This window comes from Homo sapiens, chromosome 4, assembly GCF_000001405.40.
Source record: "Homo sapiens chromosome 4, GRCh38.p14 Primary Assembly".
NCBI classification, from domain to species: domain Eukaryota; kingdom Metazoa; phylum Chordata; class Mammalia; order Primates; family Hominidae; genus Homo; species Homo sapiens.
This window is the reverse complement of record NC_000004.12, coordinates 43,842,941-43,867,752: the sequence shown is the minus strand read 5'-3', so window position 1 is coordinate 43,867,752 and position 24,812 is coordinate 43,842,941. Positions and strand designations below refer to the sequence as shown.

At 36.8% G+C, this 24,812-nt stretch overlaps 1 pseudogene, besides 1 other annotated feature; it reads right to left on the bottom strand.

Annotated features, from left to right (window-relative positions):
• RN7SL193P (RNA, 7SL, cytoplasmic 193, pseudogene) lies at positions 4,204-4,479 on the bottom strand (annotated as a pseudogene).
• Positions 23,882-24,383: an enhancer, noted in NCBI's record as "NANOG hESC enhancer chr4:43845387-43845888 (GRCh37/hg19 assembly coordinates)". NCBI's record gives its function as "activates a minimal SCP1, AML or CMV promoter by ChIP-STARR-seq in primed H9 embryonic stem cells {active_cell/tissue: H9 hESC(primed)}" and the evidence as "EXISTENCE:reporter gene assay evidence [ECO:0000049][PMID:30033119]".

Genomic DNA, 24,812 nt, shown 5'->3' with positions numbered 1-24,812 from the left:
TTGCAAGCTCTCTGCTGGAATTTCTAGAGTTCCGTGAATCAGATGGAAACAAACTTTGCAAAGTTCTTACTAGACGACGAGGTGAACTATTCCTGCCATAACATAAAATCATGTAGATTCTCAAAAATTTTCATAAACAATGCTCAGTGTTTAATCAAGAATTGTGGTGAGGCACAGTGGCTCACACCTGTAATCCCAGCACTTTGGGAGGTCAAGGCAGTCTGATCAACTGAGGTCAGGAGTTCGAGACCAGCCTCGCCAACATGGTGAAACCCCGTCTCTACTAAATAATACAAAAATTAGCCGGGTGTGGTGGTACGTGCATGTAGTCCCAGCTACTCAGGAGTCTGAGGCAGAAGAATCACTTGAACCCGGGAGGCTGAGGTTGCAGTGAGCCGAGATGGCGCCACTGCACTCCAGCCTGGGCAACAGAGCGAGACTCCATCTCAAAAATAAATAAGTAAACAAACAAACAATTGTAAGGCGTATCTAGAAATAGAAGCCAAGAAATAAAAAGCAGACAAAAGAATCAGATTCCTACAGGACCCAGTTGTTAGACTTACAGTGTACGAATTTAAAAATAATTGTGAAATTTTATGTTCAAAAAAATAGATTGTAAGTGGAAGAATTACACAATTTTAAAAAAACTATTATTTTTTAAAAATTAAATTTTTACAACAGAAAAAAATGTTACAGTTAAAATTAAAATTAAGATCCTGATAAAGGATTTACCAGAAGATTAAGCACAGGAAGAGAGGGTTACTCAACATGATCGTAAGACAAGTTGAAATGTTCAGGTGGAAGTCTGAAGAATTAAGAAGATAGAAAATACTGAAACGAGTATAAGAGACCTTACAGACATGATGAAAACTTCTAACATTTGCATATTTTGGAGTCACAAATTATTGAGTAGAAGCAGTGTTTGAAAGATAAGGGCTCTGGGAGAATTTTTTCCAAGCTGATTCAACCATCAAGCCACAGATTAAAAGGATCCCTCTCACAGTCATGTGTGGGACCGATATGACAGAAAGGAGACCAGTTATTGCCCACCTCAAAGTTCTAGGTAAAAAAATTATGTGACTAGGTCAGTTGTAATGGTGTGGAGGTAGTGAAAAGCAGGCAGATTCTGGATATATTTCAAAGCAGAGCAGGAAGGATTTGCTGACAGATTAGGGTATTAGGTGTGGAGAAAAGGATGACACCAGCTTGAGCATGAAAAAATTGAATTACCTTCACTGAGATGGGGACAATTACAGGATGATCAAACAGGGGTTGGGAAGGTTGGGAAGAAAAATAAGTCACAGATAAACGGTAGGAATTCTATTAAGAAGAGGCAGCATTGTTCAAAATCACTAGCCGCACAATACAATGATATACAATAGTTTCAGTCATTTTAAGCACCTGTGGTCATAAAATAATCAGGGAGACAGAGAGTTCAATACTTTTCTAAAGTAATGAATTAGAGGAGAAAAAAACACAATCTAGAAATCTATAGGTAAGTTTTGAATTGTGTTTGTTCTTATTAAAAAGTCATTAATTTTTTTCTCACTCTTAGCTGCTTATAGAATTTACCTACTAAAACTTATCTGGTAATAGAATATGGATTGAAAATTCTTTACCCTACAAAGATGATGATATTATTTTTTCTGACATTTACAGAATTCTGCTACTTATCTAATTGACATTTCTTGGGAATCTGTTTTCTACTTTATTATTTTTATATTCAATGCAATGTCATTTTATTAAAATGTTCCCATTTAGGATACAATTTATTTTTTTGCTTTAGGGTTGGAATAATCCTCATGGTGTTTTTGTTCTTTATATGATTTTAATGTTTAATTGTGATCTCATTTTTTCTCTCTCTCTGTGTGTGTGTGTGTGTATGTGTGTGTGTATGCCTGTATGTGTTTTAATTAGTAGGAATACTGGGAGCCTAAGTTTAATAAGAACTTATAAAGATTGCGTTGCAATCACAGGATTAAAAGAAAAACTGATGATGAAGGTTAGAAAAGGGTGAGAATTAAATATTTATCTTTTCATGGTCCTGAGGAATTAATTCTGTAATTCTGTCCAACACTTTTGCCATTGTATCTTTCCACCTTTGACCCAAATCCCAGGAGTCACATGGTCACCCTTAAGCCAGAGGAGTATAAAGTCTTAATTGATATTCCCAGCAAGACTACATGAGACCAGAGAGGGGGAATACAGTAGCAAAACAAACAAACACAAAGGGAACTTCATGTTGCTTATTAAACATGGTTTAAGTAATCATAAACATAGTTTAACAATGACAAGGGAAAGAAAAATCCTGTTTACCTCCTTTTAGTTCATATTAGGCAAGAGGATAATTAATATACCTTAAAGTATATAATTTAGGCAGACAGAGCTTCTACTCTTAAACTTCCAAGAAAATGTAATACTTCAGAAATCCAAGCAGAGGTGATGATGTTCTGAATAATAAAGAGTTGATCACTGAAATATGACAAATATCAAAAGTTTGCACTAAGTATATGGTTGAGGAAAACATAATTGGGGAATGGTGTATAATTTGATATAGTGTCTGAGAAACAGAAACTAATGAAGCTGGTTGAGAAACAGGGAATGATTGAAGTTGTCTGAGGTATCAAACCTGGATGATAACAAGGATGGAGGAATAACTATTTAAGGAGTAATACTGAAAAGAAAAAAACCAGTTTTGTCGTCATTCCTGTGCATGTTTCTGTAAAAGTGAAAGAGACAGGGAGGGACAGAGAGAAAGCAGTAAATGTGTGTATAGTTTTTGATGGTGAGAGAAGAGTGGGTGCATTGGCAGAGATGAATATTTAGATTCGGATATATTAAAATTGAGAGTTTTCTGTGGTAGCCATAAGAAATTTAACAGTCACTTCAGAATTAAACCTTTATGACTGTATTGTCTAATACTGTACCCACTAGCCACGTGTGGCCATTTAAATTTAAAATTTGGTTTCTTAGCTGCACTAACCACATAGTACGTGCTCAAAAGCCACATATACTTAGTGGATACTCTGAACAGTGTGGATAGAAACAATTTCTAACATTATAGAAAGTTCTATTAACCAGCGCTACTGTAGAATTAAGGATGAGTTCAAAAGAAGAGATTTAGTAGAGCATATCATTGACAGAGATGCACTTGAAACATTAAAAAACAAAAAATCTGAAAGTATTCTCAAACAAGAGAGCCAATGAAAAATGTTTTTGAATTTCATATATCAGTAAAAGTACTTTGTAAAAATGCTAAAAAGCTATATATACGTAAACTGTATATATATAAATTATTACTCTCACTTATGCTTAAAGGGTGTTAGAGAAAGAGGAGTCAAGAAGAAGGAGAAAAAATACCTTTTTCAAGTTAAATCTAATTAAAATAGACATAAGATGATGCAAGATCTAATCAAATTAAATGATATTTTTAGAGGTCTTATTTTGTAGAAGTTTAAATTTGTACTATTACTCAGAAAATTCAGAATGGACTTGAAACTCTTGATTGAAAATAAAATTACATATTTTAACACAGAAGAAGGCCCTGCCTGTGCTTTCATAGTCCTTTTTTTTGAGTATATTTTTTCAGTGTCAATAAAGATTTGAGACATTTTCTCTAGATTTTGGTAATCTATAAATTAAGAAATTGTCTCAGAGATTACAATGAGTACAATAAGGCACCCAAGTTGATTTTCATTTTTCAGTGAGCTACTTCTTAGATTCTGAAACTACTTTTTATACTGGGCTCATGTTAAAAACCAAGTGTAGATGGACTAATCTAATTCAAAGACTAAAATTTTCATATTTTGCTAATAAATTAAAAAATATAACTTATCTAATAACAGCTTTTGCTTTTTTAAAGCATGTAAATATGACCCAAATTGTTTGTGAGGGTGTATGTGTTTGTGTGTTGTGTTAATTAGGAAATAACTTTGCATTCAAAAATATTTTTAAGTGAAAGTTCAAAAATTGAGAATTATAAGTAATGTAAATTAAAATAGTTCTTTTTTCTGATGTCAAGATAAGCAATGGATATTTTCTCAATGGTGTTTTTGTTTTTTCTTCTCTGCCCATCAATGTTAAACATACACCATGATTTCTACTTTATATTTTCTTTTTTGGTTGTCAAATTGTCACATTTAAATCTCTTTTTTGCATTGGATTTTTCTTTTTTTTTAAAAAAATATTTTATTTGTATTTTTAAGGAATGAGATCTTGCTGTGCTTCGCGGATTTGAGTGCAGTTGCTACCCACAAGCATGATCCCACTACTGATCAGTATCAGAGTTTTGTTCTGCTCCAGTTCCAACCTGGACCACTTCATGCCTCCTGCGGCAACCTGGTGGTCCTCCAGCTCCCCACAGGGTCACCATGTTAATGCTGAATTTAGTGTGGACATCTGATCAGCATAGTGCTCTACAGCCCAGAACTCCTGGGACTATAGGCATCTTCCATTGCATCTGCTGAACTCCCCTTTGATGTTAGTTATTTTTATTTGATTCCAGCTTTTTTTTTTTGAAGAGAATATATCCAGATCTCCCAAACCTCCTTTGCCTCCCTACATCAATTCAATACCAAGTCTTTGCATTTGGTAGTTGACGTTGCATAAATCCTGTGCCAGATGTAGTAGTTATTGCTGTAAGCCCCATCTATATATAGATTAATTTAAATGTTAATGCTCTATACAGTGTCGTATTCTCTTAAGATAGACTGTCTCAAAGTGTAAATTTATGTTTTATATGTGACCTAATAATCCAGTTATCTTGACTGCTCATTAGTGTTAGCTAAAATAAAGAGAATATAAAATACTTTCCCACTACTCATTTTTATATGGAGTCAGAACCCTATTTGAAATGAACAAAATGTACATTATATAGTCTACATAAATTGAACAAAAATTAAAACATAAAACATCTTAATAATTTTTAAAACAGATCTTCATATTTTCTCATTCTGATTGTTTTTGTGTGTGTGTAGTTAAATGCATCCACATTTGTTTTTGCTTGTTAGTGATAACTCATGTGTCTAGCCTTTAACTTCTGGTGTGAGAGAGATTTAGGCTTCTCTCTATGGTAACAGTATTAGTTCCTGCTGCTGCTACAGATGTAAGAGACCACAGCTGTGTAGTGCAATGAATTTCCCTGAATGAATTTCCAATTAAAGGACAACTCTTGACTACTTCTCCTAAATTTAGTTTGTTGACTCTTGAAGCTAGACTTAATATTATTTCTAATTTTGTTTCAATAGTTAAGTTTCTTAATGCATCTCTACAACAATTTTTATAGTCAGTATTTGATATAGCCAGCACTTTTTAAAATAAACCATGGCTCTATTTACAGACATTAGCTTTTAAATTTATTTTAACTAAACTTATGTACTTTAAATGGAAATAATGTTAATTTCCACAATGTTCAATGTGCATAGTAGAGTGATAGGTACTACACTGTAAGTATTTGGGAAATGAACATTCTTTGCTGGGAGAAGTGTAGATACTTTCCCAAATCTTAGGTAAAAACTTGTAAAGGATTTATACTTCTTTTAAAAACTGTTTTGGAAAATATTACTTCCTAACCAATAAACATAATATGCCTCATCCTCTCTCCCTAAATATCTTTATATACCTTTCATTGAAATAATTTAGATTTCTGGGTTTTCCAACCGGTGGGGTACAATTTATTAACTAGGTAATCTTAAACAATTCTTGTCAGGAGCATGGAGATAATAATAGGTACCCTGCAGAACTACAATTGAAAAGATTTAAAAAAAAACAATTCATAAGCCATCTAACAAAATCCTTGAGGATAATGCATAGTAAATGTCATTTCCCTTCCCTTACCCCTAACACTGTCATTTCAGGGAAGATATAAAATTGTGCATAAACTTAATAGGAAACATGAAAAGGCAGCTTCCCCAAAGACCAGCATTCATGTCAACGCACTGACGTTTGAAATCATCTTTTGGTCATCTACTAGATTATAGGTTCTGTGGAGGCAGATTTAGCGGGTTACTCTTTCTGTAGTCAGGAACCACTCCCTAGCACAGATCCTTACCCATGTAAGAACAATAAAATGTGTTCCCAGAAGTAATCAAACTCTCATGCCCAGAATGCTTGTGGATATTAATTTATATGTTTAAAGTTGTAATAACTAGCAAGGCTATAAACAAACATGTGAATTAAAGGTAACTCTTCCTCCAGAATTGTTGTCTTAAATTTCTATTCCTAGCTCAGTTGTCTTCCTGATAGCACCAGAAGTGTCCTCTGAGACACATCTACATTGCAAAACTTTAAAACTGGAAATGTAAGTATGGCATAAGTGCCTCCACCACTCCGCAACAGCACTCCTTTACCTACACCTGTTGAAATTTCATAATCTTTCTTGCCTCAGCACTTCAACCACAAACAATGTTTATATTTGTCTTATATTCTAAAAGATCAAAAATGGAATTGCTACCTCTAAATGATTATTTCTCAGGGTTCTAGAAGCTGTATGATTAAATATCAAGAAAGGCATCATTATATACTTGTCTTAGTTCATTCATCCTGCTGTAACAAAATATGTTAGACTGGGTAATTTATAATGATAGAAATGTATTTCTCATACTTCTGGAGGATGGGAAGCCCAAGATCAAGGTACTGGCAGATTTGGTGTATGGTGAGGGCTTAGTCTCTGCTTCCAAGTTGGTGTCTTGTTGCTGCATCTACAGAGGGGACACCCACTGTATCATTACATGGCAGAAGGGTGGAAGGAAAAAAGGGCAAAAGAGGCCTAGCTAGTTCCCACCAGCCCTTTTATAAGGTTGCTAACCCCATCTATTTAGGTCTCTGCTTAATTACCTCCAAAAGGTTCACTTCTTAATACTGCTACATTGAAGATTAAATATCAACATGAATTTTGGAAGGAATGCAAACATTCAAATATTATCAATATTAAAAAATCAAGCTGCTCTGGTATCGAAAGGCCTCCATTTCTGCCCTAATTTTATCATTTGTAAGGTGAAATGTTTTCCAATATGAATTAGTTCCACTGTAGTTATAATATTTTATGATTCCTTGACTGAATCCGTGAAACACATCTTCAGCCTGGCTGCTTGTTTAATTTGGAATACACCTTTTCACCCATATCAATGCCTCTGTAAGGCATTGACCATGAGCTAGGAACAACTGGAGCCATTTTGGTGTTAAATTTTATCTTAGGCCAGATGCGGTGGCTCAGGCCTGTAATCTTAGCACTTTGGGAGGCCAAGGCGGGCAGATCTCTTGAGGGCAGGAGTTCGAGACCAGCCTAGCCAACATGGTGAAACCCCATCTCTACTAAAAATACAAAAATTATCTGGGGGTGGTGGCACATGCCTGTAATCCCAGCTACTCAGGAGGCTGAGGCAGGAGAATTACTGGAACCTGGGAGGCAGAGGCTGCAGTGAGCCGAGATCACATCACTGAACTCCACTCTGGGAGACAGAGCGAGACTCCATCAAACAACAACAACAACAACAACAACAACAAAATTTAGCTTAATGACACAGTTGGTATCTTAAAGTGTTATTAAGAGTTCAGGCCAACATAACAAACTGTCTCTCAGACCACAGTGCAATCAAATTAGAACTCAGGATTAATAAACTCACTCAAAACCATACAACTGCATGGAAACTGAACAACCTGCTCCTGAATGACTACTGGGTAAATAACAAAATGAAGGCAGAAATAAAGATGTTCTTTGAAACCAATGAGAACAAAGACACAACGTACCAGAATCTCTGGGACACATTTAAAGCAGTGTGTGGAGGGAAATTGATAGCACTAAATGCCAACAAGGGAAAGCAGTAAAGATCTAAAATCGACACCCTAACATCACAATTAAAAGTACTAGAGAAGCAAGAGCAAACAAATTCAAAGCTAGCAGAAGGCAAGAAATAACTAAGATCAGAGCAGAACTGAAGGAGATAGAGACATGAAAAACCCTTCAAAACAGTTAATGAATCCAGGAACTGGTTTTTTGAAAAGATAAACAAAATAGATAGACAGCTAGCAGGACTAATAAAGAGAAGAGAGAATAATCAAATAAACACAATAAAAAATGATAAAGGGGATATCACCACTGATCCCACAGAAATACAAACTACCATCAGAGAATACTATAAACACCTCTATGCAAATAAACTAGAAAATCTAGAAGAAATGGATAAATTCCTGGACACCTACACCCTCCCAAGACTAAACCGGAAGACGTTGAATATCTGAATAGACCAATAACAGGTTCTGAAATTGAGGCAATAATTAACAGCATACCAACCAAAAAAGTCCAGGACCAGAAGGATTCATAGTCGAATTCTACCAGAGGTACAAAGAGGAGCTGGAACCATTCCTTCTAAAACTATTTCAATCAATAGAAAAAGAGGGAAGCCTCCCTAACTCATTTTATGAGGCTAGCATCATCCTGATACCAAAGCCTGGTAGAGATACAACAAAAAAAGAGAATTTTAGACCAATATCCCTGATAAACATCAATGTGAAAATCCTCAATAAAATACTGGCAAACCGAATCCAGCATCCTATCAAAAAGCTTATCCACCATGATCAAGTTGGCTTCATCCCTGGGATACAAGACTGATTCAACTTCTGCAAATCAATAAATGTAATCCATCACATAAACAGAACAAACAACAAAAACCACATGATTATCTTCATAGATGCAGAAAAGGCCTTCGACAAAATTCAACAGCCCTTCATGCTAAAAACTCTCAATAAACAATAAACTAGGTATTGATGGAACGTATCTCAAAATAGTAAGAGCTATTTATGACAAACCCACAGCCAATATCATACTGAATGGGCAAACCTGGAAGCATTCCCTTTGAAAACCGGGGCAAAACAAGGATGCCCTCTCTCACCACTCCTATTCAACATCATGTTGGAAGTTCTGGCCAGGGCAATCAGGCAGGAGAAAGAAATAAAGGGTATTCAATTAGGAAAACAGGTAGTCAAATTGTCTCTGTTTGCAGATGACATGATTGTATAATTAGAAAACCCCACTGTCTCAGCCCAAAATCTCCTTAAGCTGATAATTAACTTCAAAAAAATCTCAGGATACAAAATCAATGTGCAAAAATCACAAGCATTCCTATACACCAATAATAGACAAACAGAGAGCCAAATCATGAGTGAACTCCCATTCACAATTACTACAAAGCAAATAAAATACCTAGGAATCCAACTTACAAGGGATGTGAAGGACCTCTTAAAGGAGAACTACTAACCACTGCTCAGCGAAACAAAAGAGGACACAAACAAATGGAAGAACATTCCATGCTCATGGATAGGAAGAATCAATATCGTGAAAATGGCCATACTGCCCAAGGTAATTTAGATTCAGTGCTATCCCTATTGAGCTACCACTGACTTTCTTCACAGAATTGGAAAAAGCTACTTTAAAGTTTACATGGAATCAAAAAAGAGCCCACATAGCCAAGTCAATCCTAAGCCAAAAGGAACAAAGCTGGAGGCATCATGCTACCTGACTTCAAACTATCCTACAAGGCTACAGTAACCAAAACAGCATGGTTCTGGTACCAAAACGGAGATGTAGACCAATGGAACAGAACAGACCCCTCAGAAATAATATCACACATCTACAACTATCTGATCTTTGACAAACCTGACAAAAACAAGAAATGGGGAAAGGATTCCCTATTTAATAAATGGTGCTGGGAAAACTGGCTAGCCCTATATAGAAAGCTGAAACTGGATCCCTTCCTTACACCGTATACAAAAATTAACTCAAGATGGATTAAAGACTTAAATGTGAGACCTAACACCCTAAAAACCCTAGAAGAAAACCTAGGCAATACCATTCAGGACACAGGCATGGGCAAAGACTTCATGACTAAAACACCAAAAGCAATGGCAACAAAAGCCAAAATAGACAAATGAGATCTAATTAAACTAAAGAGCTTCTGCACAGAAAAAGAAACTATCATCAGAGTGAACAGGCAACCTACAGAATGGGAGAAAACCTTTGCAATCTACCCATCTGACAAACAGCTAATATACAGAATCTACAAAGAAACTAAACAAATTTACAAGAAAAAAAAAACTCCTTCAAAAAGTGGGCAAAGGATATGAAAAGAAGCTTCTCAAAAGAAGACATTTATGCAGCCAAAAGACATATGAAAAAATGCTCATCATCACTGGCCATCAGAGAAATGCAAATCAAAACCAAAATGAGATACCATCTCATGCCAGTTAGAATGGTGATCATTAAAAAGTCAGGAAACAAGAGATGCTGGAGAGGATGTGGAGATATAGGAACGCTTTTACACTGTTCATGGGAGTGTAAATTAGTTCAACCATTGTGGAAGACAGTGTGGCGATTCCTCAAGGATCTAGAACTAGAAATACCATTTGACCCAGCCATCACATTACTGGGTATATATGCAAAGGATTATAAATCATGCTACTCTAAAGACATATGCACACGTATGTTTATTGTGGCAGTATTCACAATAGCAAGCAAAGACTTGGCACCAACCCAAATGTCTATCAGTGACAGACTGGATAAAGAAAATGTGGCACATATACACCATGGAATACTATGCAGCCATTAAAAATGATGAGTTCATGTCCTTTGCAGGGACATGGATGAAGCTGGAAACCATCATTCTGAGCTAACTATCACAAGGACAGAAAACCAAACACCACATGTTCTAACTCATAGGTGGGAATTGAACAATGAGAACACTTGGACATAGGAAGGGGAACATCACACACTGGGGCCTGTCGGGGGGTGCGGACTGGGGGAGGGATAGCATTAGGAGAAATACCTAATGTAAATGAAGAGTTGATAGGTGCAGCACACCAACATGGTGCATGTATACCTATGTAACAAATGTTGTGCACATGTACCCTAGAACTTAAAGTATTTTAAAAAAAAGAGTTCAGGCTGGGCACAGTGGCTCACACTTGTAATCTCAGCACTTCCGTAGGCCCAGGCTGGTGGATCACCTGAGGTCAAGAGTTCGAGACCAGCCTGGCCAACATGGTGAAACCCCATCTCTACTAAAATTAAAAAAAAAAATTAGCTGGGCATGGTGGCAGGTGCCTGTAATCCCAACTACTCAGGAGGCTGAGACAGGAGAATCCCTTGAACCTGGGAGGTGGAGGTTGCAGTGAGCTGAGATTGCCCCATTGTACTCCAGCCTGGAGGACAAGAGTGAAACTCCATCTCAAAAAAAAAAAAAAAAAAGAAAGAAAAAAGTCCAAATCCCTGAATATTGAAGCATTTTTTTTCCTGATAGCTCCATTTATGAATACAAAAGCAAGTTGGTAATTGGCCCAGACCACTTAATATGTTTTCTCAGTTATTCTCTAACAAGGAATTAAATATTCTAGTACATAGTCCATGGTCCCTTAATACTTTTAGAAATTCTGTAAGCTGCACATTTGGCACAAGATACTTTTCTCACTCACATAGAGAAGAGATTCTTTTAATGAGAAGGTGAATCATTTGTACATGACATATTTAATGAAAAGATCTAGAACAAGAGATAATGCATCTCTATATCCCCGTATTCTGATTATTCTACCTAATTAAATCAGAGAGAGGATTACGTAAGTCACTCCTACTTTAAAAGTATCATAGGATCTAAAATATCAGACAAAATGTCTTATTTTATTGAACTCATTTCTGAGATTGGTGGTAATAACTATTTTGTGTATAATTATATATAAAATATTATCAGTCTTATCCACTTGGGAATGAAAAAACATCATCTGCTGATAATTATTTCATAGGAATTGACTTTTTTATTGCTGATAGCCATGTCTTCAGAAGTTAGTGAGAAGGCAAAAGTAGGGTAGTGCCACATGAAGAGATTCCAGAAATACATTTAGTTAAGGGGGCCAATTTTCTGCCATTCTTTCACATCATTAGGTGGTCTCATAGTATGTGTCTAAGTGTTCTTCTGTCACATTTATATTCTGCAGATAAAAACGATTGTCAATTCCCTTGTAATTTGTCATCATTGTTTTCTTGAGAATTCAACTGTTGAAATTCTCCTAAATTTCACATTTAAAAAACAGTAGGAAATTTTTTCCTGTCTTTTTGTCACCTGTACTGATTTTTCGCATATGATTGGCAAAATGAAAATGAGCTTCCTTCAACTACTCACATGACCTGTGAGTCTGCTAATTCACATACAAGTTAACTCTGCAAATAAGACTCCCTGCTACTATGACAACAGTGGAATACTTCTTAACCTCCTCAACAAACAGCCATCTGTTCCAATTTTAAACCATTTGTTTCATTTCTCAATCACACCTTGACTATCTTCACAGTGCCAGGCACTGAAGTAGAAAATGAAACCACATAGTTGAATAAGGCATGTTAGGGTCCCATATTCAAGGAGTTTGCATTTTATCCAGTGGGCTATGAGGAATTGAAGGGGCCCTTAAAGCAATTTTAAACGAAGTTGAGTTAACATAGATGGAAGTATGAGTACTAAGCTGGAGATTGGGATGGGAGCAGGACAAAAGGCTGGATGTCAAGGCAAAAGACTGGTGAACATTGTGGGGGAAAAAAAAAAAAACTAGTCCTCAACAGAGGCAGTAGGCTTGAGTATGAAAAAGAGTTAATAGATTTAAGACATATTTTAGAATTGAATCAACAGAATTTTGGTGATTTCTTGAATGTAATGGACACTAATAATAAGTTTATAAAAGTATTCCTGGGTTTTCAAGAATAGGCAAATATGATATATTCAAGGATAATAGACCAATTGATTTTCGGTAATTTGGAAATAAATTTAGCCTTCTGTTGCAGTTGGTGATAGCAGTGTGCAGGGCTTTCATATAAGTTTTGTCTCCAAGAACCTGCTAACATTGAAATAACTACTATTCTTACCATCCTCTAAAAATATTAAAGAGGTATTTTATATAATACTGTAAATTCTTTGATTGACTGGGAGGCATAAGGTGCAGAGATGAGAGTATCTAAAATCATTACCGCTAACCATGGACAAAAAAATGGGTTCAAACCGGAAGGATGAAATCCAGAATCTGAAGTATACTACAGAAAGTTTAATGCAGGAGAAAAGTCAGAGGGTTGGAAATGACAGATATCATCACACTAGATGAAGCTAAAATTTTAATAGAATTATTCTGAATATAGCTACATTTTTAAGAAGTTAATATTCTAATAAGATGTGAACTTTGACAGAAAATAAGGTACATTTTTTTAAATGAATCAAATTTTCCATTTATTTTGATCATACATATTTTTAAAACCTAGTGTGTGGGCTTTTTCTATGGCGGGGTTTATTCTCTATGCTCTATATATGTTTATCTTTATTTACAGAGATAATGTTAATAAAAACAACATGTCAAGTGATGGCTTTACCAGATGGTTTTACTGACATGGATTTAAAAAGGGATTGATTTTGTGGGATAGACTGGATAAATACTTTTCATTTCTCCCCCTCTCCCACATCTTAATGTGTTCTCAGATCAACTACAAAAAGGAAATATGAGCTCCTTCACGAGAATTTTAACTTGGATAAATAAGAGTGGTTAATAAATCAAAACAACCTGACATTTATACAAAATTCCACTCAATTTATGTTTTTTGGCTTTAGTTCAAAAAGCACACGACTCTGCTGGGAGGATACTGTCTCCTCTAAACTGCAGCTCTTATCTTTTTTTACCTGGTGTAGGAGGAATCATCTGTGCTTCAATTCATTGCAAAATGTGCATCTCTCTCCCATTAACATCTGTTTCAGTCGGTTCTTGCCCTGCTGCTTATCGGGGCTGCCTGGTGTATTTCCAAAATGAAGAGTTGTGGTTTCCTCTTGCTATTTACTACCGGCAGTGAATTTAGGTAACAACACCTCTAACATGCCAAGAATCTTAGAAATTTTGCCTTAAAGAAATTTTAAATGTTGGCTATAGCAGAATATGATTGCTGTAGACTGAATGTGTGGGCTCTTCCGAAAATTGTATGTTGAAATCCTAACCCTCAATGTGAAGGCAGTAGGAGGTGAGGCCTTTGGTGGGTGATTAAGTTATGATGGCAGAGCCTTCATGAATGGGAGTAGCGCCTTTATTAAAGGGGCACTACAGAACTTCCTTGTCCTTTCCACCATGTGAGGACAAAGTGAGAAGCTGGCATCTATCAATCAGGAAGTGGGCCCTTGCCTAACACTGGATCTGCTGGCACCATTATCTTGGTGCTCCCAGTCTCCAGACCTATGAGAAGTAAATTTCTGTTGCTTATAAGCCGTCTATGGAATTTTTGTTATAGCACACCAAATAGACTAAGACAATGTTATACAGCAGGACTTCTCAAGGAGGAAAATAATCATGTATAGATCTGATCTCTGGTTATGTATTATGAGGCTTATGTTAATTTTTGTACTTTCCTACATGGCCACTGTGGTAGATTGATTACTTAATGGTTCTAATTTATAGCCTCCCTGCATCCAACATTTCCCCTGCAACTTTTAATTGCCTCCCATTTAGAATTCAGGATAGATTTTACTGTGACCACCAGAATGAAGCACAAGTGTTGAAATTCCATTTCTGAGCCAGGGCCTCAAAAGAGCCCACACACTTCTATTGTCTCTGTTCAGCCCCTGCCTGTGACATTATGAAAAAACCTGGGCTAACTTAGAGAATGTGAGACTGTATAGATCACAAATGAGAAAGTGAGGCCAAGATCATCCTAAATTAGCAAACCCTCAATTGATCTGCAAGCTGCCCACAGACAAATGAACAAGCTTAGCCACAATAAACTAAATGGAGCAGATCAGTAGCACCACTCAGCTAACCCAGACTCATAAACGAAAAGAAATGTTTATTGTCATATGCCATTGGAGTGTTTTGTTAGGTTGTTACACAGTATTGCTGTGGGAAAAAATAGGTCATGAAGCGACTTAGTAATGAATCCTGAATATTACTTGAGGTTTGTGATGGTGTGGGCCTGAAGAGGGACGACTTTGCATTTCATTTTAAGTATCATATATTAATAACACTATTGCTAAGAGTTAAACTTTGTCTTCCCTCTATTTTGTGTATCTCTAAAAGTCTCAGTACAAAATGAGACTGGGACTATGGAAAGCCCAAAATCTAAGATCTCTTGCATCAGGCAAATGTCCAGATCTTTGTTGAAGCCATTTGCCTCCTGATCTCCAGGGTTTTAATATTACTGCTAATATCTTGCTTTTCCAATTTCCCTTCAGTTTATTTATTTTGATGGATTATCTTATAGCCATGGGCTTTTGGACAAATTGCTACCAGCTGAAGTTAGCCCAGAGAAGTACAGGGACACTTTCTAAACTTTCTTGTTTATTCTACATAAATTTTATCTAAAAAGTACCAAAAATTATTAGGTATCAGCAAAAGTAAATATAGTTGACCCTTGAACAGCACAGGCTTAAAATGCATAGGTTCAGAAAATATGTAAATTTTCTTCCATCTCTACCACCCTGAGACAGTAAGACCAACCCTGCCTCTTCCTCCTCCTCAGCCTACTCAATATGAAGACGATGAAGATGAAAACCTTTATGACGACCCATTCCACTTAATGAATAGTACATTTATTTTCTCTTTCTTATGACTTTGTAAATAACATTCTCCTTTCTTCAATTTGCTTTATTGTAAAAATACAGTATGTAATACATATAACATACAAACTCTTTGTTAATTGAATGTTTACGTAATCCATAAGACTGTCAGTTAATAGTAGGTTATTAGTAGTTAAGTGTTTTGGGGAGTCAAACTTTATAAGTGTATTTTCAACTGATGTGGAGTTGTGACCCTAACCCCTGCATTACTCAAGGAACAACTGTGGTACATACATTTGAAAATCCAGATTTAAATGATCTTCATCATATTTTTAAACCAATGTAATTGAGATATATGCCATTATATTTTTAAGTAAATAACATTTTACTGTAGAATTATGTGTAAGATAGCACATAAAAAAAAGTAAATGCAGGTGTATGCCTCTTGTAGACTAATGAAATCTAATGCTCTCAAAAGTTGTGGCCTAACTTTTTTTCAGATACTGTATTTCTTATCATATATTTATCCTTAAATGTTCCACAAGTGGAAAAATCATATTAATATATAGCATGATAGAATTTCTGCTCCTTCTATTCTTTAGCAATGAATATTCTTAGACCTGGGTTACCATACACTCCGTCTATGCTCAATAAATACTTGAATGGATGATTTCATGTTGTGTCCTATTAGGCTAGGCATCATTATTCAGTTTGACTTTGGTGATAGCAATACCATTTAATACTGCAATCTTGGTAGTAGAATCACCTCTCTTTGTACCACAGAGGAGGGGAAGGTTAGTGGGACAGGTGTTATCATGTTTCCAGCTGGCTTTCCATCAATCTTGTAAGAAAGAGTCATCAATGTGGCAGAGCCTTTGGTGGCAGATGCCAAGTTCTTATCATGAATGACTGCAAGATGATGTCAGTTAAGGCAGCTATTTTGAGTTTCTTAAAGCCTGGTCTTTTATATACACAGGATCCTCTGGTGAGAACTGATAGTGAAAGGGTGTGCTTCTTTGTGTCCTTACCTGGTTGGGCAGAGTCTTTATGTTTTTATTTGTTTATTAAACAAAACATCTTATCCTTGTTGGCAAAGTGCCCTATGAGATGTAAAATCGAGTTTTTTTTCTAAGACGCTGTTAATTACCTCAGGGCTGCTGTATACAATCATCTCATCCTCACCTACAACTAAAAACTGAGCAGAAGATGAGATTGTTGGTGTATTGCATGTCTCAGTTTGCTGTATAGACAAGACACTAGAATAAACAAAAAGATGCCACATTGTGATTCGAAGCACAGGGATTGTGTTTTTTATAGGGGAGAAAAATGAGGCAGCTGAAAGTGAGAAGTTATAAAAAGTACATTACATGAAGTTATAAAAAGTACATTAAATAAGACTTTTGATAATTACCCAAAACCACATGGACATCTGCATTGTAAAGCATGGGAACTGGACAAGGAGGATATGAGGAAAGAAGGAAGGAGGTAAGCAGTAGGCTTACAATACATTTTTCTTTCTTTCTTTTTTTTTTTTTTTTTTGATGGAGTCTTGCTCTGTCGCCCAGGCTGGAGTGCAGTGGCATGATCTCTGCTCACTGCAATCTCCGCCTCCTGGGTTCAAGCGATTCTCTTGCCTCAGCCTCCAGAGTAGCTGGGATTACAGGTGCCCACCACCATGCCCGGCTAGTTTTTACATTTTTAGTAGAGACAGGGTTTTACCAAGTTGGCCAGGCTGTTCTTGAACTCCTGACCTCAGGTGATCTGCCCACCTCGGCCTCCCAAAGTGTTGGGATTACAGGCGTGAGCCGCCGTGCCCAGCCACAATACATTTTTCTATTATTACTAGACCAGTGCTCATGAAAAACAAACAAAAAGAAAAGAAATCAGGCAACTCAATCTAATCTCCTTGTAAACATGCTGAAAATTGACTTCATTGAACAGACTAATGCTATTTACAAGAAAGAAAGCCCTTGTCTATGAAATGCTTTTAGCAGGATGTTCTCAGTTTATGATTGCTTATGGTAAACATGAAGAATAAAAACCTACATGTAAGCTGCACACCATCTGGTATAAAAGTGAATGGAGATGTTTCATAACCTAAATGTACCCCGAAGCAAAAGTGTGAGTCCAATATAGTAAGGAAAAAACTGAAGAGATGCATTCATTGTGTCTAACCTCTCCCTGTGTACTCTGTGCCTTTCAATTGCTTGTATCTTAAAAATTATTGGTAAAGCTTGATCCTGGGTAAGATCTACAATTCGAGTGACTCTAGTTTAAAAATCTGATATCTTGTGCAGGAAGAGAAATAAGTTGTTGATTGCCTGTTCTGTTCACTAGTAGGCAGGTTTTCACTGCTAATATCTTCAGAAGGTAAGAACATTCTCTTGATTCCTAACTACCCCCACTCTTTCTGTCACTCCTCAATACTCTCCCTTTCAAGCACCACATTTTTCTCCCCTATAGAAAACACAATCCCTGTGCTTAGAATCACAATGTGGTGTCCTTTTGTTTATTCTAGTGTCTTGTCTATACAGCACCCTGAGACATGCAATACACCAATAATCTCATCTTCTGCTCAGTTTTTAGTCAAAGGTAAGGATGAGTGACTTCTGGACTGTGGTTCTGCTGGTTCTAAGTTGGGTGGCAGGGAAGGGGGAGAAAGAACTCTGAGTGTGTGTGTACTCACAAGTATACATCAGGAACAAGAAGCTTTTATTATTATTATTATTATTATTATTATTATTTTTAAAGTGGCTTTTATCATTATATAGGTATGGCAAGGCCAACAGATTAGAAGTTGACTGCCATCGAAAGGAAAGTTTGTTATATTTACAGATTCCAAGAGGAGAGGGCATGGCAAGCCAAAGGGTGAAGGGTTGGGGTAGGGGGAATATGGGGAAGCACCAGCATCGATTAGGAGCCAGAGACTTTATTTTCGTTTCCACAGGAAGGAAAGGGCAAGACAGGACAAGTCAAATAAGGATTGGTTGATTTGAATAATTTTAGAGAGGTCTGGGGGATAAGGGCAGCCCCTAGTTTTCTGGCCCTTGCCCTTAGAATGTTTAGGGCAGGTGGATAGTGGCCCATAATATGAGATCCTGATAAAGGAGTTGCTTATGAGGATAAACTCTAGATTGCTTGGTTTGCAATTGAAAGGTGCATTACTGGGCTATTTAAGAATCTCTAGAAATTAGGGCAGTTGCTCCAGGGTGACCAAGATTCTAAATGTCAAAGCATCAGAATACAGAAAATAAAAGTCATGGTTAATATGACTCAAGGCATTTAAACTCAAACACAGATTGTCATCAAAAGGATTGATTTCTATCTAAAGATCTTATTTAATCTAATTGAGAAATTTATTTTACTTATAGCATAACTTCAAAAACTTATTTTCTTGAAAAGCTTCCACAACAATTATTTTGAAAAAAATAATATACCTGGATTTATTTTTTCTAAGAGGACACACATATCTGTTCTTTACCTAAACTAGAATAAAAAATCATGACATCCAAAGTACTTTTCTTCAATCTGGAGATTCTCATCCTGCACATGAGAGAAGGAGAAGGCTAGAGAAATTTAAGCTGTCCTTGTTCTACCTTTGGTGTGTCAGTTAATCTTCCCAGGCTCAGCTTCCTAATCTGCAATTGCGATGAAGAATCCCTGCCCTGCCTGCCTCATAGAGCTTTGTGAAGAACAAGCAAGATAATGTAAGAAAAGTTTTTGAAAATTATAGAGTACTTTAAGAATGCAAAGGTTATGGGTATCTCCATAAATTCAACATCAACTGAGGTATGTTATACCCCTTTATATCCAGACATAATTAGTTCAAATTCCTGTAAGATATTGCATGGAAATCTAAGGAAGTTCCAAGGACTTCTTCCAGTACCTGAGAGATGGCTACCTACTTGATTATTCCTCTGTAAAACCATTAGCAGTGCATTTTGTGTATATCACAACATTTGAGCCATTTCTCATTTTTCACAAAACAAAATAGGAAACTACGTTATACAAAGCATTCATGAGCGATATGGCTTGGCTCTCCGTTCCCACCCAAATCTCATCTTATAGTGCCCATAATTCCCACGTGTTGTGGGAGGGACCCAGTGGGAGACGGTTGAATTATGGGGGCAGTTCTTTCGTGTGCTGTTCTCCTAATAGCGAATGGGTCTTACAAGATCTGATGGTTTTAAAAATCGGAATTGCTCTTCACAAGCTCTCTTTACCTGCTGCCATCCCCGTAAGATGTGACTTGCTCCTCCTTGCCTTCTGCCATGATTATGAGGCTTCCCCAGCCACATGGAACTGTATGTCCAGTTAAATCTCTTTCTTTTGTAAATTGCCCATCTTGGGTATGTCTCTATCAGCAGTATGAAAACAGACTAATACAATTAGTGTAGTAGACTTTAGTGAAATTTTGCTGGGATTATCTCCTGGATAAAGATTTACACCACAGCAATTGAATCACTTCAAATTTAGCACCATTCATTCCTTGTCCTAAAGGGTTCTGAATACATGCTCCAAAGGAAACTCTCCTGATTATTTCTTTTGTAGTTTTATACCTCACATCTTCTTTGGCTCTTTTCTTTATCCCTCTCTTGGATAGTTTGTTTTTCTCTTCTCTGGCATTTCAGAGCAGAACAAATTCACTTCCCAGTTTTATAAAAAGTACCTTGTCAATATTTCACAAAAGTTTTATCAATGTATTTTTCACACAAATGCATTTTCTTCCTGAAAATAATTATTACAAGAGCTATTCATAAAATATTTATTGAATTTATATATCCAGTGATATTGTGTCTGGAATTGGTGGGTTCTTGGTCTCACTGACTTCAAGAATGAAGCCGCGGACCCTCGCGGTGAGTGTTACAGTTCTTAAAGATGGTGTGTCTGGAGTTTGTTCCTTCTGATGTTCAGACCTGTTAGGAGTTTCTTCCTTCTGGTGGGTTCGTGGTCTCGCTGGCTTCAGGAGTGAAGCTGCAGACCCTCATGGTGAGTGTTACAGCTCTTAAGGCGGCACATCTGGAGTTGTTCATTCTTCCCGTCCAGAGTTGTTCATTCCTCCCGGTGGGTTCGTGGTCTTGCTGGCCTCAGGAGTGAAGTTGCAGACCTTTGCAGTGAGTGTTACAGCTCATAAAGTCAGTGCGGACCCAAAGAGTGAGCAGCAGCAAGATTTATTGCAAAAAGCAAAAGAACAAAGCTTCCACAGTGTGGAAGGGGACCAGAGCGGGTTTCCACTGCTGGCTCCTGCAGCGTGCTTTCATTCCCTTATCTGGTCCCACCCACATCCTGCTGATTGGTCCATTTTACAGAGAGCTGATTGGTCCATTTTGACAGGGTGCTGACTGGTGCATTTACAATCCCTGAGCTAGACATAGAGTGCTGATTGGTGCATTTACAATCCTGTAGCTAGGCACAAAAGTTCACCAAGTCTCCACTAGATTAGCTAGACACAGAGCACTGATTGGTGCATTTACAAACCTTGAGCTAGACACAGGGTGCTAATTGGTGCGTTTACAATCCTCTAGCTAGACACAAAAGTTCTCCAAGTCCCCACCTGACTCATGAGTCCAGCTGGCTTCACCTAGTGGATCCCGTGCTGGGGCCATTGGCTGAGCTGCCCGCCAGTCCCGTGCCGTGCCTGCACTCCTCAGCCCTTGGGCAGTCGATGGGACTGGGTGCCTCGGAGCAGGAGGTGGCACCCATCCGGGAGGCTTGGGCCGCGCGGGAGCCCATGGTAGGGTGGGGTCGGTGGGGGGGCTTGGGCATAGCAGGCTGCAGGTCCTGAGCCCTGCCCTGTGGGAAGGTGGCTGAGGCCTGGTGCGAATTCAAGCATGGCACAGGTGGGCCGGCAGTGCTGGGGGACCCGGCGCACCCCCCGCAGCTGCTGGCCCAGGTGCTAAGCCCCTCACTGCAGGGGCCAGCAGCACCAGCCGGCTGCTCCAAGTGCGGGGCCCGCTGAGCCTGTGCCCACTGAGAACTCCCACTGGCCTGGGAGCACCACGCACAGCCCCCATTCCCGCCTGTGCCTCTCCCTCCACACCTCCCCTCAAGCAGAGGGAGCCGGCTCCGGTCTTGGCCAGCTCAGAGAGGGGCTCCCACAGTGCAGCGGTGGGCTGAAGGGCTCCTCAAGTGCAGCCAGAGTGGACACCGTGGCCTGAGGAGGTGCCAAGAGTGAGCTAGGGCTACTAGCAAGTTGTCACCTCTCAACATGAATTGAAAATTACAGTGTTTCTGGAATATTGTCTAATTCTCACAACAGCTGTGTTAGCTAAATATTATTATTCTCATTTTTTTTTCGAGGACACTGAGTCACAAAGAAATTAAATCATTTCCCATACATCAGACAATGTGTAACTGGGAGAGAACATTTTAAACAAAGAAATCTGATTCCAGGTTCTTTGCTTTTAATAACACTAAATATTTGTTTGTAATTTATTAAACTTTTAAGGAATTTTATAATGAAAATAAAACTTTTGACCAAAAGGATGAATAAAATATTATATTCATGAAGCAGAATACAATGCATTTTGTCCATCTCAGAAGTAGGAGATGCTAACTGCACACTTGAAACATTTCTTAGTGACTCTCTAGACAAAGAAATTTATTTATTTATTTATTTTGGTGGAAAACCCAGACAAGGGAGTTAGCACTTTTGCTTTATTATAATTAGCTACATAGAGTTCTTCATCAATCCTATCCATTGTTTACCTCTAAGAAAAGATTGTCCAGTTTATTGGTTTATAAAGATTTGAAAGATTTTATTTTTACAATTGTCTTAAATTCATTAACAGTTTAAAACATAATAATTACAACAATTTTCTCTTTTGTTTTATTTAGAGAAAATTAAATTATCCTAATGAATAGCAAATATATGTAATACTGTTTATTATGGCTTTTATGGTTTAAAAATGCTTAGCAGCTAAACTTCCCCATTATGTTATACATATGATAAGAGTTTACATAAAACTTAAGATTTTTAAAAAATTATTTTGAAAACATAATGGTTATACTACATAAAAGTTTAAAGGCCAAAATAACTAAAGATATAACTGTAGAGTAAGGCCTACAGTTTCATAATTGCTTTGAGGTTTAATTTGTTCCACAGTGTTTTTTTTAATTGATCAAAGCTACATACTCAACTAAAATAAGCACAAAAACTTCCCTCATAGATATGTGTACTAGATTCAATGATAAACTGAAGAACAAGAAAATATATAGCCTGTTTCATTTACTTTATCTGAGAATAAAAAGACAAAGTGTTTTTTAAACTTATGTTTGCTTTCTTTAGTCTAGAAAGTTTATAGAAGTTGTACAGCTTTACTCTGAGTTCATCTGAATTAAAAGATTACAGAAGAAAGGATGCTTCAACAGAAAAACCCACCATAAAGGTAGACTTTTCAACCACCAGTCCTACATTAAATTGGACTCTAAATAATATCACTGATATGGAGAGGCTTGATAGTACATACGATCAATGTCAAATGATCAATGACAGACGGGTGCTTAAAAATGAGTAAAGGATTACTAATAAAGCTGACTAATAAGTTTCAAAGCAGTAAAAATCAATGATAAATAAGATAAGGGCACACATTACAATTGGAACCTAGAGGAGTTGTGTGTGTGTGTTTATGTCTGTGTGGTGTGTATATGTGTGTGTTGGCTCATAAAACTCGTTTCAGGTATTAACAAATTTTGAGTTGCCTTGAATGTTTTCATCCAAACAACATTTGTGATCACAAATTATTTCTTAAAACAAAAAGCTTTCTTTATATAATAAAGGAGTAGCTAATAGAAAGAAGAAGCCAGTGCTAAATCTAATGAAATCAACAAATTATAGTACTATTAAGGAGACTATTTTCTACTGTGGGAATTATTTATCTCATTAACATTTCCAGGCAACTTGTTTGTTTTATAATCAAAAGACTTTAAATTAACCCAAATAATTGAAAGGGGAAGATTAATCATGTGTGTGTGCGTGTGTGTTTATAACGCAGTTTATATGCAGTGCTTAAAATAATGCCTGATATTAGTAAGTATTAATTATTGAAATTTAAAATTGTAGTCAAATTTTCTGTTAAAATCATGCCATAAATATTTATTGATATAAAATTGTAATGTACTATGTTTAAAGAGTAGTTTTTAAAACAATTATACTGTTAAAAATATACTGTTTTAAAAGCTACTCATTAAACAGAGTAGCTATGTTTGAAAATACTTTAAAAATAGATTATGACCCTATTTTTTAAAAAATATAATACATATATCCATTATATATGCACAAGGAAAGTCTAAAATTATATCATCTAGATGTTATAATGATTTATATAGGTGGGTAGAATGCTTTTTTGTGTGCAGTATATTTTTGATATAAAGGTATGATTTTCTGTTTTTCATTTCAAGAACAGATTAATGGATACAATTTTAAGTGGATTTTCCAAAGGAATTACAAATATGTGAACTGTTTATTCAAGGCCTCCCACTGGCAACCACAGGAGGCATCAGGAGCTATAGTTGAAAGCAGTTCCAACAAATGTTAAAATACTCCAGCAATAGCTTTGCCTGTGTAGTATATGTTGAATCTCCAGTATCAGGTCAGAGTGATTTATTATCTGTTCAAAGGGCAACCAGTTTTGTTTGCTGTAAAAATACTTCATGACTTCTCAATTTTCGTTAGGTTTAAAAATTTATTTTGGGTCTTGAGACTGTGAATTTGTATAATATGCTAATATCTCAAGTGACAAATCAGTAATAGGAAATTACAATACACTAAGGTTTTTTTTTGTGTATTTGTTTCTGCTATTGGAATCTTTCTCTGGGGCTTTATCTGAGATGCACTGGATGATTGCAGGCATATATTTCTGCTCAGCTGAACCCCAGATATAAACATTTCTGCTAGTTCTTTGTATTTGGTGGCCCTTTTAAACTGAGGAAGCCCATGTTTCTCCACTGTCAAAAGCTGAGCTAAGTTAGAGAAATGTCACACCTTCAGAAAAGGGGAAACTTAGATACCCCTAACAAGTGACCACTTCTCAGGTGCCTACAGATTATAATGCTTCCTGTCTTTACCGTAGCGTAGTGCCACTATACATTTTTTCAAGTAGAACAGCAACTATTTTACATAACAAATTCTATTCTCTGGATTACTCATTTTTGAGACCAGCCAAATAAAGTTAATTTAATTATTGAGTGCTGCTGCTTCAACCAAACATGAATTTTGAAATCTAACATGACTACAGAGCAAAACGTTGACTTCAGGTTGAA